Here is a 20,696-nt window from a genome sequence, read left to right as displayed (position 1 = left end):
TAAGGAAGAAAGGTTTGACCAGTTTAAACCTGGGACAAAAGTATTCAAGGGTCACAGAGGAAAGCAGTGAGCCATCCTCAAGGAATCCCACCCTCTGCTCTTTCCCAACCACACAGAAACAGGTTTCTGAAGCCTATGGCTAAATGGGTGGGCCGGGAGGAGTTTGGCTTTCAGGCCTGCGTCAGGGCCTGAAGCATGCAAGGACAGTCTCCCCGCCCTCAGTTTGTGGAAAGTACCCGGTCCTCGGGTGAATCACGCCTCTACTGCAGCTGGAAGGGGCTGCAGCCTCTCATCCAGTTTTTTAAAGACTTCTCATGAAACCTGTAACTCTGATGAGGTGCATTAATGCCAATGCAGTTTCGTGGCCACAAACAAGAAACTGCAACGACAAAAAAAAAGAAAAAGTAAAATGGAACAGGCCTGGGAAGTTGGGCCTTGTAAGACTTGTGGTTAGAACTTAACCACATGTTAATGTACCTGTTTCTAGGGCAATGAAGACTGGATTTTATTAAATAAATATATATATATATATATATATATACACACACACACACACACACACACACACACACATACAGCTGCGGTTTTAAATCATGTCAACAACCAGACTAACTTTTTTAAACACTTTAAGTCCATGCTACAGACATTTCACTGTAGCATGAAAAACTGATATATTTTCAGATGGAAATGGATCAACTTGTAATTTCTGCTTCTAAAGTTAAAGGCACCAAAGGATCTTCCATTAGATGAGCCTAGACAGTGAATAAATATCGAAAGCTAACTTTAAAATAATTCCCCAAGCCTTGATTTATAGAGAAACCATAAATTATCCACTGTTAAAATTATGGCAGTAATGGATATATAATAGTAAATCAAATAAACCAATGTTTTTACATTTTTAAGAGTTAATTAAGTAAATGTCTATGGTTGACAGATTAGCTATCTCCATTATGCTTTTAAAATTTTAAGTACAGAAATCAAAACTTTTCCTGGGCCCAAATTTATTTGTTTCTCTTCCCAAATGAGAAAAAAAAAAGTTGAAAGGAAAGGGAAAAAATATTATTTTATTTTGCTTATGAAACTACTTTGCCTTTTTTTCTAAATAGTTTACTTATATAAATTACTTCCTTTTTTTTTTTTCAGAAACAGGGTCTCCCTTTGTTGCCCAGGCTGAGTGCAGTAGAACAATCACAGCTCACTGCAGCCTTGACCTCCAGGGCTCAGGTGATCCTCCAGCCTCAGCCTCCCAAGTAGCTGGAACTACAGGTACATGCCACCATGCCCAGCTAATTTTTTTTTTTATTTTGTAGAGATCGGGGGATCTGACTGTGTTGCCCAGGCTTGTGGTCTTGAACTCCTGTGCTCAAGTGATTCTCCCACCTCGGCCTCCCAGAGTGCTGGGATTTAGAGATGTGAGCCCCCTCACCCAGCCTAAATTAGTTTCAATAAGCACAATTTTGTGATTTTCCTGCTGTACTCCTAACAGCCCGCAGTTAAAGCATGTTTTGGGATCCAATTTCATGTTACCTGCAAATGCTCTCACCTCCTAAGTTTTTACCAACTGGTGGAAATTATGAGACCATAATTTTGGTTGATGGCATATATCAAAGTTTCAAGAAAGGCCAAGAAAATGGGATAAAACTACCTGAGAATCAGGTGTTTCCAACAGCAGCCTTTGTTCTTTCCTTTGTTTTCTTCATGGCTCATGAAAATGGAGCAGTTACAACGGATGTAACTTGCGGCTGGAGAAGGCCAAACTGGAGGAGAACCAATGAATGGGAGTTATAAGGCAGACGGATTTGGGGGTTCCATTAATAAGAGCTTTATGGAAACTGCTGCCTGAGAGACTGGGGGCAACCAGCTTCTGCTCAGGCCTGGGCTGCTGAAGGGATGTTCCCAGGCTGGCTAAGGATAGAGGGTAGGAGCCAAGTGACCTGTTGAGGATGCCTCTGTTGAACACTAATAACCTCTGTAATTTACAGGGTACTAACCACATGCTGGCGGCGAGTGTCTCTTTTCCCCCTCACTGCTTAACTTCATAGAAAAGTAATGGAGCAACTCACTGCCACCCCGTTTTACCTGCTGCTCACCCCTCAACTCCCTGCATTCCACCATGGCTCTCCCCACGGTCACGAATGACCCACTGATTGCCGGATCTACTGGACCCTTCTCAGTCTTACTTAACCTTTGACTGCAAGTGACACTGTGACCACACCCTCTTCCTTGAAACCGTTTTCCTGCTTTTGGTTTCCCCATCAGGCCACTGTTGCTTCGTGGGGCCCTCTTTCATCCAGTAAGTGCATGATTGGACACCTACTGTGTGCAGGAAACGGTGCTAGATGTTGTGATACAAAGATGAAGAAGACAGAGCCTCACCCTGATGGGAATTATGGCATTGGGGTTTGTGATTTTTTGAGAGCTCACGAACTGTCAGACATGAGTGCTGATGTTCTGATTGCAAAGTCTGTATCCTCTCCACTCCCCCACGCTGCACATCTCAGGATTTCCTTCACATGTCCTATATTCTCTCTACTCTTCCTTGACTCTCCCATCAACACTGAGATTCCCAAATCTCTATCCCCAACACAAATCTCCTTTCTGAGTGTCAGAGCCTTATAGCCCTTTTGACCTATTAGCTCCACCAGAAGGTTACATGGGCTCCTCAAAGTCCACATACTCAAAATTGAACTTTCCCTCTTTCCCCAGAGCCTCGTTCGTGCTCCTGGGTGTCCCTTCTCACCAATGCCTCCACCATCCTTTTGGGCCTAGCTAGACCACCAATCCATGAGTCATCTTTATTATTCCTGTTTTTCAATACCCACATCCAATCACTCATCCATCCATTTATATCTGAAATTAATCTACATATCTTCCAATTTTTCCTTTCCTTCTTATCACAGCCTGGGTCAACCCCTCATTGTTTTTCTTACCTAGAAGATTTCAAAAACTTCCCCAACAGTCTGCCTGTCTCTGGTGTTAGGTGCCCCCACCCAGCCATCTTGCACAAAGCCATCGGACTGACGAGGTCAGAGCATATCTCTGCTAAACCCTTCCATGATTCTTCATGGACTTTAGGAAAAGTTTACATTTCATGGTTTGCCAATTCTTTGTTTGTATTTGTCCGCTCATTTGTCTCCCTAACTTGACTGTGAAAAATGTGGAAACATAAGTCTTGTTCCATTCATCTCTATATTTCAGTGCTTAGCATGCTACCTTATATTAAATACACAGTAGGTGATTTTTATTTCCACCAGTCTAAGGTTACCGAAATCTCCTACTATTTAATCATTCCTTAGAAGCATTCTGAATATATATATATGATATATATCTGATATATATCATATATATATCATATATATCATATATATGATATATATATGATATATATGATATATATATATGATATATATGATATATATGATATATATATGATATATATGATATATATGATATATATATGATATATATGATATATATATGATATATATGATATATATGATATATATATGATATATATATGATATATATGATATATATATGATATATATGATATATATGATATATATGATATATATATGATATATATGATATATATGATATATATGATATATATGATATATATATTATATATATGATATATATATGATATATATATGATATATATATGATATATATATGATATATATGATATATATATGATATATATGATATATATATGATATATATGATATATATGATATATATATGATATATATGATATATATATCATATATATGATATATATGATATATATATGATATATATATGATATATATGATATATATATGATATATATATGATATATATGAGATATATATGATATATATGATATATATATGAGATATATATCTCATATATATCATATATATATCATATATATATATCACTAGAGTAGGCATTGAAATTATATCACTAGATTAGGCATTGAGAAACCTGCTGCAGAGGCATTATTTAATTAATCTAATCTCCCTTTACTGAAAACATTCTGTTAGTATACCCTCCTCCCTCTCAAAGAGCAAGGATCCCTAGAAAATGAGACCGGTGAGTTTCAGTACAGGCAAATAGGAAGGGAATGGTTTGGACTAGAGGATGTGCACTTGCTGGGGGAAGATGAACTCTAAACCGAAGACCCTGGCCAACCAGGGACAAATGCAAGCCTGCATACTAAATGCTTTAATGCTTCTGTAGATGACAGGAACATAGCCTACAGGGGGCATGAAGGACAAAACCTTCCCAGGGCAACTCTGTATGCTATCTGACTATCCCACTGCAAAGAGGCATCCTTTTATTTAATGAATTAACTTCTCTCCAATACATATAGAAAGGTCTTAATTACATACCATCTTCAGGAAAATGTAGAGAGTAGTCACTCAAACTATACTTCTGCAGGTCAGATGAGAAAACTTAGCTGAGAAAGGCTGGTTTAAGATGGACAGAACGAAGAATAAAAATTAAATCTACAAGACTATTCAGCCCTTACTTTATGGAAGAAAGTGGAAAAAGGAAGAGGATACTAGCAGTTTAGACAGCACAATATCTCTTCTCTTTTTCTGTCCAAGAATAACTGGGGAAATGCTGTATAGTGTCTACCTTTGTTCTGAGAATAGTATTTCATGTAACATAACATCAGGGTTGAAAGCAAGAGTATGCGTGTTGCAGCACATGGCATCACCACTTCCATCAACTTTTGAGTAAGACCAATCAGCAGCCAAACCAGGAAACAATGAAACAGCCCTTCCCAGCACAAAGAACAAGATAGAAATCTGCCTGCATGCTCAGAATGTGCAGAGGAACAGTGGGTCCTCAGGCTAGAATCAGACTGTCCCATGCAAGTATTCCTGCTCCAGGCAAGACCTTAGAGGCTTCCAGATGCCTTCAGGAACTCAGCATCATGTCGTTCTGCTGGGAGGGAGAAATTCCTTCCTGACTCCTGCAAGTGATCAACGTATGCCCTAAAGCATGAAATGTGATTACCTCTTTTCATTATCTCAGTTTACCAAGCTACACTCATTATCAGTGACGAGTCAGCAATTTTTTTCATGCTCTCAAAATATTACATGCCCTGGTTAACCACACAGAAAAGGCTTGTGCCAATAATTCAGGTTTGATTCAGCAATAGAATATTTTTCTTGAGACCTCATTTACAGTCAGATACCTCTGACCTCTATGGCAAGGCACCTCTCATAGCTACCTCATGGGAAACCTATTTGTCTGCTATAAGAGAATGGTTAAAAAAGAAAATTTCAATTATTAAATACATATAAAAATTGTATTTTGAGCTTTACTGATAGCTTCTCAAATTTAAAAAAAACTGCAATCATACAAATGTGTGGGCTGTACCAGAAAGTTTACATGCCAATGCTTTGGATAGTTTGGTGTTTATATGGTTTTGTGTGGGGGTTGTGTGGTGTCTGTGTGTGTGTGTGAGTGTGTGTGTGTGTGTGAGTGTGTGTGTGTGTGTGAGTGTGTGTGTGTGTGTCAGGGAAGTGGGAAGAGAAAATTAATTTTGCAAATTAATACTGTCAATACCTGAAAGAGGTCCAGGTCAACCACAAAATAGGCCTACTAGTAATTGTCTTAAATTAAAGTAAATCCAGCAAAACTACCCCCTCCCTGCTACCATTGATACTACCCTGCAAGAATGAAATTATTCATAAAGAATTTGGCAAATGCATTCAAACACATATCATTCTACGTATATAAAGACCTCACATCCCTTAACATACAATGTAAGAATAATGCCCCTCTGTTTTCTTAAAAGTGCTTATACAAGTATCAGCTCATTTGTGGTTCACTGAGTGTGAAACAATTACTCCCACAAACAGACCAACAGAAGGCAAAAATAGACTAGTGTGTATTTTTCAGTTTGTGGTCTCCTCTGGGTTGAAATACAAACAGAGAGTTAACAAAATGAATGACTACATTACACCTGAAGAAGATGGGGAAGCCAGATAACCTTCTAGCGTGCTTCTCTTTGACAGCCATTACGACACATGTACCTAGAAATATAATTTAGTCGGTTTTCAGGACACTCGCATTGTCGTTTGAATGAGAACCGTTAGCTTCAGGGCTCTGGAGGAAACCAGCTTCTGCCAGGGATAAATGAAGATGGCAGGCTTGTGCCGGGTGGTCCATCTCTGCAGCTCACCACTGGGTAAATAATGAGAATAGCTTTATTTGGAACACAGTGTGATCACCAAAGAGCGGCTATGACAACACATTGAAGAAGATGGATATTACATTTATTGCTACTTAAAACTTTGGCGTTCGGGATGCCAAAGAGGGAGAAACAAGCTTATCTATTCAGCTGTTATGGATTCTAGAGTTATTTACCATTCTGATTGCTGTGTAACAAGAAAGTGGCATATTCAACGGCTGTCATTTATTTCACTAATGGAATTAAAAATGAATGTGGCCAGAGCAATAATCAATGCCTCACCCTTTGTGATGAATTATGGTTTGGCTAAATAGTAGGACCTTTAATTATCTGGGAAAAAATTGCAACTTTCCAATATCTTTGCTGTGTTCTCTGAGATTTCCCTTACAAATGCAACCTGTCCTGTGCTATTTTTATTTAGCTTAAATAAATTTCATACTTATGAAAGGTGCTGGATTAACAACCATGGAGTAAAATTCTTTATCCCATTTGTTTTTTGGTATTAAACCTTTTTTAGAATACTATGTTCTTTCTTAAGTTCCATGCAGTCAATTCATTTGGTCATTTTTAGTAATATGTTTTCATAGCGGGTAAGTATTATTTATTTATTTATTTATTTATTTATTTATTTATTTTCAGACAGAGTCTCCCTCTCTCACCCAGGCTGGAGTGCAATGGCATAATCTTGGCCCACTGCCACCACACCCAGCTAATTTTTGTATTTTTAGTAGAGACAGAGTTTCACCATACTGGTTAGGCTGGTCTCGAACTCCTGACCTCGTGATCTGGCCGCCTCGGCCTCCCAAAGTGTGGGGATTACAGGCGTGAGCCACTGCACCTGGCCTATTATTCTTATTTTTTAGATAAGAATCCTGAAACATAAAAAGTAAGAGATGGGGTCTTGGTCACAGAAAAAGTTAAGGACTGAGTTGTTCTCTGAAGTAAGCCATTCTCACATTGCTATAAAGAAATACCTGAGACAGGGTAATTTATAAAGAAATGAGGTTTAATGGGCTCATGATCCTGCAGGCTTTACGGGCAGCATAGTGCTGGCATCTGCTGGGCTTCTGGTGAAGCCTCAGGGAGCTTTCAATCATGGCGGAAGGTGAAGGGGAAACAGGCATTTCACATGGTGAAGGCAGGAGCAAGCTGGAGAATGGTGGGGAAGAGGCCACCCTTTACAACAACCAGACCTAATAAAAACTCACTCAACTATGGCAAGGATAGCATCAAGCCATTAGGGTTGGTGCCAAACCATTCACAAGAAATCTAACCCCATGATCCATTCACCTCCCACTGGGCCCTATCTCCCATACTGGGGATTACAATTCAACATGAGATTTGGCAGGGACATATATTCAAACCATATCATTCTCCCAGCTCTGGATGTGGCCCCCTGACACACACTGAAGCTACTGGGATAGGGTGGTCGACGAATGCCTGTATAGAATCTAAGAATATTCCACTACAGCTTCACAGATGAAACCAATCAGCTTCTATCCAATAAACACTAAGAGAAGCTAATGTTCAATGTTGGATGAAAACCAAACATTCACATGCAAATCACTCAAAAATGTATACTTGAGACTGATATTGGAGAAAAAGAAGCAAATAATGATTTTTTAAAAAAGAAAGGGACTTCTGATTTTGCTGCTTTTTTAAAAAATATAACTGTTGACTCCAAAATGTAGACATATAAAGGGGAGGAAATTAAACCCTTGCATCCAGGTACACTTTAACAACCAAAGAGAAACAAACTATTTCTCCCTGGAGATATCTCTGGTCCCAGATATTGTCTCAACAATATCCCTTATCACAAAAATGTGTTTTCCTTTTATCTAGATAATGTGCAGATTCAGCAACAACAGCGTAAAAAGTTTAAGTTGACTTTCCAATACAAGGTAAGGTTTCTAAGATTCCATCTACAAATATTCTACCAGAATATTTTCTTAATCATTAACAATTATAAAGAAACAAGGGAGGAGGGTATTTCATTCTTCTTTTAGTTTACATTTTTATTAAGGTCTTCATGTTTATAAACTATTGCCATTTTAAAATTTATATCACTTACCCGTTTATCTATAAGAACTGTAAGTTCTCCAAATCAATTTGTGCATGGAATATTATATATTAGGATGCAAACTATTTGACTATGGAGCTGGGTGTAAATATTTTTACAGTTTGTTGTTATCCTTTAATTTTGTTTATCTAAAGAGATTGTGATAATCAGAATCTTATTTACTTAAATCTTCCTTGGTCAAAGTCTTTTTCTCTGCAGCAAGTTTTTTTTTTTTCAACTTTTAAGCACGAAAAGTTTCTTCCATTTAGGAAGTCCATAGTTAGTCACATTTTCCCCTTGACTTTTTGATAGACTGCTCATGAAAAGCTCCAGAGGTAAAGCTTACTTCTGTCATTAGGTGCAGTTTAGTCTCCACACGCAATAGTCTCCACACTCAACACCCAAGTGAAACACCGAAAGATGAAGCATTTTAAATTTACCTTAAATCATTAAAAACTTCTCACACAAAGCACACACCCGTGTATACACATGTATACACACACACACACATACTCATTTAAATGGGCTCCTCAAAAAAAGTACTGTCAAAGAGATGAGCAAGTAGAACATCACTAATTCAACTGTAATCCTTTCCCACTCACCTTTGAAAATGTTCCTGGACTACTACTAGGTAAAAGATATTCTCCTTGATATATAAGATTCTTTCCAAGGGGTATTTTACAATTAAATTTAGAGCCCCCCTGCCCCGTGGCAAAATTGGTCCCCTGACCTATAATTCTCAAATGGGAGATTCTGCAGTGGAGAGGTCCCAAGCCCCACTTCTACTCGTGCACTCTAATTCGGGAACTCCTGGGATGGTGTTCTACTTATAGTCCCTTTACCCTGTGGGATGCCAAGGGCCTTAACCCCATCTCTTACTTGGCCCTCAAAGTCAATTTTTCATTCTGACTCATTGCCCATGTCCTATGTCTGATGTTTCTCACTTGATGAGCTAGTTAATGTTTCTAGGGAGCATATAAAGAATGCTTCAACACATCTCTTCCAAAATATCCCCCCTTGGTCTATGACCTCACCAGCCCCCAAAAGAAAGGCAGGATCCAGTCCCACTAGCCCTTCACCTGGATATCCTCTAAGACAATCGGAGAGTGAATGAAAATTATGTGAGCATCATGAAAGTTTTTCTTTTCCTTTGAAAAACTCAGGATAAAGCAAGGCATGAAAAATATTTACAATTTCTGACTGATTTTCCAAATATGAAAAAAATGATTTCCCCTCCATGCCTAGGCAAATGCCAGCCAGTTCAGGTTATTGTTTGCCTCTGAAACTTAAATGTGCAGTTGCATTAGGGGGAAAGAGTGTAACTTCAGAGAAAACCACAAGGAAACACACTTAGATGGAGTAAGTGGAGTCCAGTGAGCTGTTGACACACAGATGGAATGACGGCTTGATAAGAATATTTTAGAGGAGATTGATTAGAAGACTAGAATAGTAACTGACCCATGGTAGGTAGAAATAAATACTTGAAGTTTGAATGAAAGAGTGTTGAATGGTAAAGGAAAAGGAGTTAGGAAGAAGAGGTGGAGACAGTGAAGGAAGGAAAGCAAGGGAGAGAGAGAGGAGAGGAAAGGAGGGAGGGAGGGGAAGATGGGAAAAAGAAGAAAAAGGATGTCAAATATTGAGGAAGGGAGGGAGAAAATAAATTAAGAAGGAAGGAAGGGAGAGAGGGAGGAAGGAAGGAAGGAAGGAACGAAGGAAGGAAAGAAGGAAGGACGGAAGGAAGGAAGGAAAGAAGGAAGGGAGGGAGGCAGGGAGGGAGGGAGGAAAGAAGGGATGTAAGGAAGAAGGCAGGGAAGGAAGGAGGGAGGGAAGGAAGAAAGGAGGTAAGGAAGGAAGGAGGGAGAGAAGGAGGGAAAGAATGAAGGAGGGAAGGAAGGTAGAAGGGAGGGAGGGAGGGAGGCAAAGACAGAGACACAGAGAGATTCTGCCTGTGTCTATCTGAGCAGAAATTGACTCTAGATTTACAAATCTGTTTTTCCTTCTTTAAAGGAGTAACAAGGTGGAAAATCCACATATTTTATTTCTAGGGCCCCTTGATTTCATCAACAAATCCCCACAAATTACAAAATCCAGACCAAATCTATGGTTTACTGGTTTACCTTTATAAGCTATATAATAAAACAGTAAAGAAAATCAATTGGTTTCTAATTACCTCTCAAAATACTCTCAACAATCATAATAGAAATAAATGTGTTTCTTTCCCTGCTAAGACATGGCCTCTGCTTCTTTTATGATCCCCTGCTTAAATTAAATATTAGGCACCTCTGGCATGGGACACTAGCGAGGAGAGAGAAGCATCCTGAGGCAGGCTCTGCTGTTGCTGTTTCTCAGTAGATACATCAGGAGGGGCCTTTTCTTAGCTTTCTTTTTCGTCCATTTATTTTTAGAAGTGCGTCTGGGAAACTGAATGAGGATCTAAGTAGACCATTGGACTGTAAGGCAGAGAAAATGATAAAAGCATTTGAGTGGCTATTGGATTAAGATCCCACAGTTCAAGAAGGAAAGTTCTAGCAGAGGTGCACTTGGGTATACGTCTTAAAACTCTCAATCTATATGTAATTTTTATTGATCACTTAAAATAAGCTATATGAAGAAATGGTTCATTTTGAACAATCCCTATTAATAAGGAAATGTACTCAGTTAACTTTTAGGATTGCAGTCAAGAGTCTTAGAAAACCTGCTAATATCTTTAACTCATATTTATTGATTTGGAATTGCGTGTTGGACATTTTCCTGTATTTCTAATATCTTTTTGTTACATGAGATTTTGCATCTAATAGTTCTGTCTAAACAGTGAAGATCTATATGGTATTATTTATTCAATCATTCATTAAACATTTTGTAATGCCTGCTAGGCAAGAAGCTAGCCCATTGGATATACAAAGTTGAATAAGAAATGGCCAACCACAGTAGCTCACACCTATAATCCCAGCACTTTTGGGGGCCAAGGTGGGCAGATTGCTGCAGCCCAGGAGTTCAAGACCAGCCTGGGCAACAAGGCAAGGCACTGTCTCTACTAAAAATAGAAAAATTAGCTAGGCGTGGTGCCCCATACCCGTAGTCCCAGCCACTTGGGAGGCTGAGATGGGAGGATCGTTTGAGCCTAGGAGGTCAAGGCTGCAATGAGCTGAGATTACACTATTGCAATCCAGCCTGGGTGACAGAGCAAGACACTGTTAAGAGAGAGAGAGAGAGAAAGAGAGAAAAAGAAAAAAGAAAGAGAGAGGGAAAGAAAGAAAGAGAGAAAGGTAGGTCATTGAATTTCTTACAGCTTAATATGTTACAATATGGCTAGCACCTCATTTGTGACATATCAAATACTAAGCATGTTACATTTATCATACATTATTTAATTCTCACAACCATCAGGAGCTAGGCATTTTATGATTTCTACTTTGTAGATGAGAAGATTAAAGCTCAGAGAAGTTAAATAACTTATCTAAGTCCTTCTGCTGAGAAAGAGCAGAACTAGGATTTAAATTTAAGATTTTCTGACTCCAAAATTTATCCTTCTATTTTCTTTGCTGTACTCTCAACCAGTCAGCACCATCTGGAATCATAGTGTGATATATTTGTTCTATTAAGAGTATTTATTAAGTTATTTGCCCTAGTGTTAATAATAAAAGACTAAAAATTCAAGATAAACATTATGTGGGTTAAGAAAGTAGCAAATCAACAGAAATAGCATTAAAATAATGTATTATACAAAGGAATGAGTAAAATATGCACCATTTCTGGTATTCTCAGATATGAGGTAATTTTACATTAATTGTAGCATGTATTACTATGTATTTCCAAGACGCAAAAGAAAGTTCTGACAATGATTGCATAGAGCAATTTTTGGAACTGTTTGATCTTTGCACATAGCTCTTTTGTGAGCCTCAATGTCCCATAAACTTTAAAAAGATTCTTTTCTTATCAACAGGGATGATTCTCATTCTTGGGTTGAACAAAACTTCACTTTATTTCCCTACGTACTATAGACCTGGTTTTCTGGGAAGGAATTAGGTTAACTGTCTTAGTATTATACTCAACCACCTGCTTAACAGTGGAAACCCAGTGCAGGGCATGGTTCAAAGGGATGTGTAATATCTCAGAAGCCACCTGAACAAAGATTTTCCATGTTCATGAGCTTTTAATGTCAAATGAATGTCCCTAAGAAACCCACGTGATGACACTGAAAAAGCGCTCCTGAAGTTTTGACTGAAAAAGAGGTGTGTTTTGGTAAGTAAATACCTTGCAATTATTTAGAATCTTCTCAGGGTAAAAGAGACTAAGAATAGCAGGTTCTAAAAATGGCCTTCTGTTTATCTCTTCATATTATTCAACATTGATTTTAACTATTAAGTCTTCCCTCATAAGGTGGAGATCACGTTTGCATTAAAGATCCCCTGACTTTCTGGAAAATTGAGCTGGAAAGCAGTGTTACTAGAAGTAGATCTTTGATTTCAATATTGACAAATATATAAACTGAATGTTTTTCAATTGATAAATGGTGGACTGGCCGTCAGGAGTGGTAGGATGGCCTTCAGAAGTGGCATGAGGATAGACTTACTAGTTTAAATGTATAACATATTGTGTTAGGAAAATGTCTCCCAAAATTTACTGTTCAATGTGTTTTTGTTGTTGCTTTTTGTTTTTTTTTTAGCATGGTGGTACTTAAAGGCAATGCATCTTTAAATTATTAAAGAATAACTCAGGAAATAATGAGTATTATTTTTATCCCAATAATTAAGCACCTAGATATATACTGGATCTATTGGAAAGTTTCCAAGTTTCCCATACATAGAGTGCATATCAGGAATCAAATCTAAATCATCTCTCTGTGGCAGTTGGGCTTCTAATTTCATGGGTCAGGAAAGGATGAGGTCAAGTGCCTCTTCAAGGGTCAACGATGAATCTGTGGGGGAATTGGATTCCAGAGCTTATGCAAAATCTGGACTAGCAGCATTGTGTCGGCTCCAGTTGAGACTCAATGTCTCACAAATAAAAAGATTCTTTTCTTATATAATAATATAATAGTAATTCTGAAGTAAGAAAACTGAACTAGAAACTACCTCATATTATTATGGTGAACCAATTAAGTCGTTAATTGGTCTAAGTTGTATTGCTGGGAATAGTTTAATTTTCTTAAATTTGACCTGGCTAATTATAAATGGATGGTTCCAAAGCACCTTAAGCACCTTCTCACTCACACAAACTCATTATTGTGAAAATGGTGTTGATGATTTAAAGGCAGCTGGCTTGGCTTCACCATCCACCTCACTGTCTTCTCGGATGAGTCACCATTTTCTCAAGTGAAGAAGAGTTTTTCTGCGGCCACCGCTGTTGGCATGGCAGAAACTCCAGCCAACCACATTTGGGGGCCCTCCTTGGATTCTCCTCTGCCTCACAGATCATTAAGCAAATTGTCAGCTCAGTTTTAATTACAGCACTTTTATGACTGCAGGTGACGTAAGAGACACGGTGGGCACACCTTGTTTTTTTCTAAGCCGGGGTGTGTTTGTAGTGCTGGCTGTTATGGCCAAAGCATTTTTCATCTTGCACAAACTGAGCTAATTTATGTGGGAACCCAGACCCTCTCAATGTTGTTTGTACTGCATCAATTTGCAGAGTCTAATGAGCTCTTTTTAAAGAATGGAAAAACCCTCCTTCGTTGCCTTTACTGAATACCCTTTTAAAGCCTGCCACAGAAAACAAAGATGCTCAAACAGAACACACACACACAAAAGAAAAAACAAAACAAAAAATAGGCCCACTTTGTCCTAATTTATGGCCTGACATAAGAGAATGGTGCTTAGACATCATAGCATCACAAATGAGCCTAACGGCCTGTGCTCTCTGGTTTGTCCTGTCTTTGGTGGCAAGAATCCCCATTAACTAAACTGCTAGAGAGTGCTTGAGGTCTGAAGGAGTCTGGTGTTTATTTTCCGATAATACAGATTTTATGTACCCAGTGGCTTATGCATGGCAACCCTCTGGAGATACGGTGTGTAGCATTTGTTGAAATGCATAACCAATTAAGCTACCTTCAATGACTTTATGAACTCCAGATTCAGCAAGGCAAGTGGAAAATCCTTTAGCCAATGTTACCCTGATGGTTTGCAAGGAAGGAATCAGCCATCAATAAGGATAGACAGAGGCCAGCACATCCTGACTCAACCAAAGCTATAAAACCAAAACTATAAAAATAAAATGGAGTTCCAACTACCAGAAATCAAGCAGTGGTACGGTGGGAATAGAAAATAATGGCTTAAAAATAGTAATTTCATGTGCTGGACTCTATGTTGGGAGATTAATACCTGTGTTTATCTAAGAATTTCCTCAAACTTTTCTTTTTTCTTTTTTCTTTTTTTTTTTTTTTGAGATGGAGTCTCGCTCTGTGGCCCAGGCTGGAGTGCAGTGGTATGGTCTCAGCTCACTGCCACCACCTCCTCCTGGGTTCAAGAGATTCCCCTGCCTCAGCCTCCCAAGTAGCTGGGATTACAGGCACGCGCCACCACACCCAGCTAATTTTTGTATTTTTAGTAGAGACGGGGTTTTCCCATGTTGGCCAGGCTGGTCTCGAACTCCTGACCTCAGGTGATCCACCCGCCTCGACCTCCTAAAGTGCTGGAATTACAGGAGTGAGCCACTGCATCCAGCCTAAGCTTTTCTGTTGAGGTCACACGTATACCACTGGGCTTTAAGTTCATATCAATATTTGGATTTCAAGGGGACACTATTGCCTTTAAAAATTATTTTATCTATAAGCTTGCCAAGAGACTTCAAAAATTTTGCTCAAAATAAAAGCAGCATAAATTTTCCCTGGGCTAAAAACAGATGTCTAACCAAGACAGGCTTCTTAGACTCACCGACACCAGAATTCAGTATAAGGCTAAAACTTCTCTAAGGTGATGGCAGCATTCCTAAGTCATTTTTTAAAAAATTGTTTAACTTTTTTTTTTTTTGAGACAGAGTCTCACTCTGTCACCCAGGCTGCAGTACAGTGGCGCGATCTCGGCTCACTGCAAGCTCCGCCTCCTGGGTTCATGCCATTCTCCTGCCTCAGCCTCCCGAGTAGCTGGGACTACAGGTGCCCACCACCACGCCCAGCTAATTTTTTGTATTTTTAGTAGAGACGAGGTTTCACCATGTTAGCCAGGATGGTCTCGATCTCCTGACCTCATGATCCGCTGGCCTCGGCCTCCCATAATGCTGGGATTACAGGCGTGAGCCACCGCGCCCAGGCAAAATTGTTTAACTTTTATTTTAAAGCATCATACTAGCATCTCAAGATGCAATATTTTCATTGCAAGGCTGTGATTTGCATGCAGAAGATCAAATGATACATGGCTCCTCATAGTTCTGTGCCAGATATTGACTCCAAAATCTTGCTTTCAGACAGGACCAAATAATCCCCATACTGCAATAGCTGACAGTAGTCATTCCTCTAAGTCAATGCTAGATGACTTTGTATAACTAAAGTCCTGTCTCATTTCAAACCTTATGAAACAGAAGACAAGAGAAGGACAAAAAAGGTCATTTAGAGAAACGTAAAACTGGAAAAACCACCACTGATGCAATATACCTCCTAAACTAAACACAAAACACACACAGTGTTGAAAGTATTTTAATTATTTTTTTTAAGTACACAGCGTGCTGGCTTGCCCCAGCATACTGAAAGAAGTTTAAACGTTCATGCTTTTTCTAGGAAAAAAGACTTGTTTTCAAATAGGATTAATCTGAGTCATCTTCAGCAATTCCCCCCACCCCCTATCTTATGTTGGGGGAAATTGCTAGAAAACTTCTCAGCATGAAACATTTTAAACAAGAATCCGGGCATGGAGGCAAAAGGTTTCCTAACACTCCAAGAAGAGAGCACTTCCCCTCCAACATAAAATATTTATCCAATTGTTTTTCCCACCTTAGGGATACTTTATTCAGCTCAGTTTGATACGGATGATGTTTCTTTTATCTTTTTATGTTGCCTTTCACTGTATTCAGCAGGCCAAGACTGAAAAATAGAGGTGCCGATATTGAGAAACAGAAGAACAGAATTGCTGAGTGAGGGCTCATGTCTTAGATAGATGGGGAGTTTTCCAGCCTGGACTTGCTAAACTCAAGGGGTAAACTTCAGATAAGGATCTGAGCTCTCGGGTGTTTAACTGAACCAAACCTCCCAGCCTTTTTGAGGTTTGCCGATGACTGGTAATTATATTGTCATTTAACAAAAGCATCTGCATTAAACCAGAGATGTTACATTAATGGTTAAGTTCACATCCATTAAAAACATTGCACGTCGACAGAGCACACAGGGTCTCCACACCGTGTGGAAAGGGATGGGAACTAATGCAGCTTAGAGGCCATAAATCGATGGCTAAATACCACCTGTCAGGTTTGGAAGTTATGCTAATGCAAGATATTTTACTTCTTTCCAGTGTACAGAGGTCAAAGGAGGAGGTACAGATATGTAACTTACGTGGAAACACGGAGGAAAACCCCCAAAGAATAAGTTAATGTAAACATCTTCAATAAAGCGATTATATCTAAGTCAGGATTTTAATCACCCATCTAGAAGGTAAATGCCAAATTCTTGGGTTTCCAGACGTGGCAACGGAAGGAATGAGGGCTCATCCCTAGAATCTATAACCCTTTCTTCGAAGTGCTTTTATTTTAACTAATGCATAAATGGGGGGTAGAAAGTAATTTGTCCATTTTTTACTCATAAACTTCGGAAGTGAACATATAACCCTTTACGGTTTCCTAGGCAACTATGGTAATAAGCAAAATTTAATATATAAGGTCTTTTAAAATTTCTTGTATGTATATAATTATTTCCCCCCAGGATTATATGATGCCAACTGGCTATATGCTAAGTCAAAGTAAGCATTTTTAATGGATGTAGAATAAGTTTAAAGTTAACATAAATAATGTATCAGTAAAAAAACATCACCTGAGAAAACTCCCAATTCTCTTTTAAAGGAATATACTCTGTAAACAGTGGATAGCTTTTTGTCGGAGATCTTTTTCTCTGCACAAAAAAGAAAGAAAGAAATGCTCAAAAGGGAACCCAGAATAAAGAGCCGTAACCCAAAAGCAAGCAATGGCTCTCGGGATCTGAGACAGTAGAGTCTGAGCTTGAAGATGGGTTCCTAAATGCCATGAGCCACAAACAGCCAAACTAGGACAAGAATTCAAAACCACTGTTAAAAACGTTTTAAAGGGTCACACTAAGAAGGCCAGGTAGAACTCAGGGGCAAAAGGGGAGCTAGGTTCTCTGATCTTTACACGAAGAGCTGACAGTAGCCTCAGCATAACATCTGCTTTAGGAGGTAAGGACCAGAGGTGAACAGACCAGGTCCTACTCTAGACAGGACCAGGAAGTTCTCTTACCCAGTTCACCTGGCATCCACCATCGACACCCAGGTCTCATCAGCCCAGCCCTGACATTCCTCTCTAGTGTCCAAGACTAAAAGTAAGAATGCCAACCCCCTAGTGCTCCTAAGGTTTGTCTTTTTTTTTTTTTTTTTTTTTTTTTTTTTTTAAATAGAGACAGAGTTTCACTATGCTGCCTAGGCTGGTCTCTAACTCCTGGGCTAAAGCAATCCTCCCACCTCGGCCTCCCAAAATATTGGGATTGTGTCATGGTGCCTGGCCAGGTTTGTCTTCACAAAAGTTAGTAAGTCTCTGTGCCAAAACCTGGATGATGCTAGTCTTCCTGAAGCCAAGTTCTGGTCATCTCACCCGCTTTTCATAACCCTCCAGTGTTCCCCTACTGCCTACCAAATCAAGTCTAGGTCATCTAGGAGCTAGCATCAGCCTCTGACCTCTGCCAGACATAGATTCTACTTTCTAATGTGCTTGCTCTCTGAACCCTGCGTGTGCCCCATAGTGTCTGAGTCTGAGTCTATGCCAGTGCATGTGCTACCTCCTCTCCCTGGAGTGTCCTTGACACCTCCCTTCAGAACTCTACCCCTTCACATTCCAAATCTACCTGCCCTCCAAGTCTTTCTCGGATATCACCTCCTAGAAAAGCCCTCCCAGATTCTATCTCTCCACCAATACTCTATTCAATGGGCCACACTTTTTAAGAGCACAATCTGTTGGTTTGCCCCAGCCTACTGACGGAAGTTTATGCACTGACATTGCATCTAAGAAAACCTTTGTCTTTACAGTGTGGCGATTCCTGAAGGATCTAGAACTAGAAATACCATTTGACCCAGCCATCCCATTACTGGGTATATACCCAAAAGATTATAAATCATGCTGCTATAAAGACACATGCACACGTATGTTTATTGTGGCACTATTCACAATAGCAAAGACTTGGAACCAATCCACATGTCCAACAATGACAGACTGGATTAAGAAAATGTGGCACATATACTCCATGGAATACTATGCAGCCATAAAAAAGGATGAGTTTATGTCCTTTGTAGGGACATGGATGAACCTGGAAACCGTCATTCTCAGCAAACTATTCCAAGGACAGAAAACCAAACACCGCATGTTCTCACTCATTGGTGGGAACTGAACAATGAGAACACTTGGACACAGGAAGGGGAACATCACACACCGGGGCCTGTCATGGGGTTGGGGGAGGGGGGAGGGATAGCATTAGGAGATATACCTAATGTAAATGACATGTTAATGGGTGCAGCACACCATCATGGCACATGTATACGTATGTAACAAACCTGCAAGTTGCGCACACATACCCTAGAACTTAAAGTATAATTTAAAAAAAAAAAAGAAAAAAAAAGAAAACCCTTGTCTTTAAATGAGATGAATTTGAGTTACCTTCTGCTGTTCCTCTGGAAGAGTCTTCTCCAACAGACTAAATCCTTTGTATATATGTCCATCTCTATTTCATTTTTACATTCTTCTCTGTGTTATTTGCAGCTAAAAGGTTTGCTATCATGCCTTCAAAAAGTGGCTGAAATTTATTTTTTTATTTAGGGGTGCTAAAACTACTAATAGCAGGTGTTCTACATAACTATGTGAGATGACCATCAGCTCATTTGCACTGAGTGACACTTGACTAATGATTGACTTTATGATGTTTGTACAGTGCTTTACAGACACCTGCAAGCCTGGAGGTGGGCAGGGAGGAGGCAGACTGGATTCAGGGAGAACACCCATGTCTTCAGAAACAGATCCGCAGAGGCTCCAGCCCTGGAATTAGTAGTCTGACACCTCAGCACACTTGACAATAAAACCTATTGTTATGCCAGTCAGCATGGGGTGGGAGAAATTTGAAAATCTGTCTAGAAATGCAGGAAGCAGTAAGCAATCTAACCAAAGCTCAAATTGCCCCAAAGAGTGTTTTTTTTTTTTCTAAACAGGAACAGTTCAGTTGATTCCAGTGATACTGTAGCAAACTGATTTTTAAGGCAAAAAAAAAAAAAAAGATTCAATTCAACTCAGACATAATACCTTGCGTAACTAGTTAGAAAAACTCAATGTATAGTGGAATTTGACAAATACATCAAAACCAGACATTATCATGAGAAGGAATGGTAGAAGGGTAGATGGGAAAATTTCTTCACGCTCTTTTTTCCCCCTGAATCAAAGAGTATTTGACGAGTTATTCAAGGTTGTTGGTTTGAGTAGGTTTCTGTTGTTGCTGCTGCTGCTTTTCTTGTTACTGTTGTTATCATCGCTTTCTGATAATATATTTACTAAATGTTAGTGCATAAATCAGAATTTGCTTGAATATCTTTATCGTGTTCCTTTAAAGTGATAAATATTTATAAATATTGAAATCATTGACCTGCTTTTGATTGGATCTATCAATCAAGACAGATTAAATGTCTATTCCATTTTAAAAGAAGAGCAGAAGTTATTCAAAATTATAACTCAAAACAAACTAGAAAGGAACAATTAACCACCGGCCTCATCATTAGACACCTAGTATAGAAAAGAATGGATAGCCCAGAGGTGGGGTGGTCAGGAGGTTTTTTCCAGGCTTGGAATAAGAAAAGCTATGGCCAAGAAGGTGTTGATTTCTCAGTAACCTAAAAGGATTTCTTTTTCTTAACTTACAAGAAATGTAAAAATACTAGCAAATAACCAGGAAAAAATAATAAAGATAGCTCATAAGTTTAAATAATATTATCTTCAGTGGCAGCTAAACAGAGTACATCTTCAGCCTGAAGAAGAAATCATTAAGGCATATAGTATAATAGGACCACACTTTTTTCATGGAATCAGTGTGCATGAAGTGACACTGAGTAAGCTCAGAAGTGATTATCACAAAAAGAAGGAAATGTAAAGTAGAGAATGGCGAACGCTCCTCATTTTGGACAGAAGGAAATTAGAGGAAATGAGCATAAACTTCAGCAGGAAGAAACTAAATGGAGTAAAGGAAGTATTTATGGAAGAATTATTAGGTCCTGAAATAACTTCCTGAAGGAACTTTTGACATATTTTTCTCTGGGA

At 39.0% G+C, this 20,696-nt stretch overlaps 1 annotated feature.

Annotated features, from left to right (window-relative positions):
• Positions 285 to 364: an enhancer, noted in NCBI's record as "active region_2988". NCBI's record gives its function as "activates an Ori minimal core promoter by ATAC-STARR-seq in GM12878 lymphoblastoid cells {active_cell/tissue: GM12878}" and the evidence as "EXISTENCE:reporter gene assay evidence [ECO:0000049][PMID:35858748]".

This window comes from Homo sapiens, chromosome 10 (genome assembly GCF_000001405.40).
Source record: "Homo sapiens chromosome 10, GRCh38.p14 Primary Assembly".
Classification (NCBI taxonomy): Eukaryota; Metazoa; Chordata; class Mammalia; order Primates; family Hominidae; genus Homo; species Homo sapiens.
The sequence above is the reverse complement of the archived record's forward strand: the minus strand, read 5'-3'. Positions and strand labels throughout refer to the sequence as shown.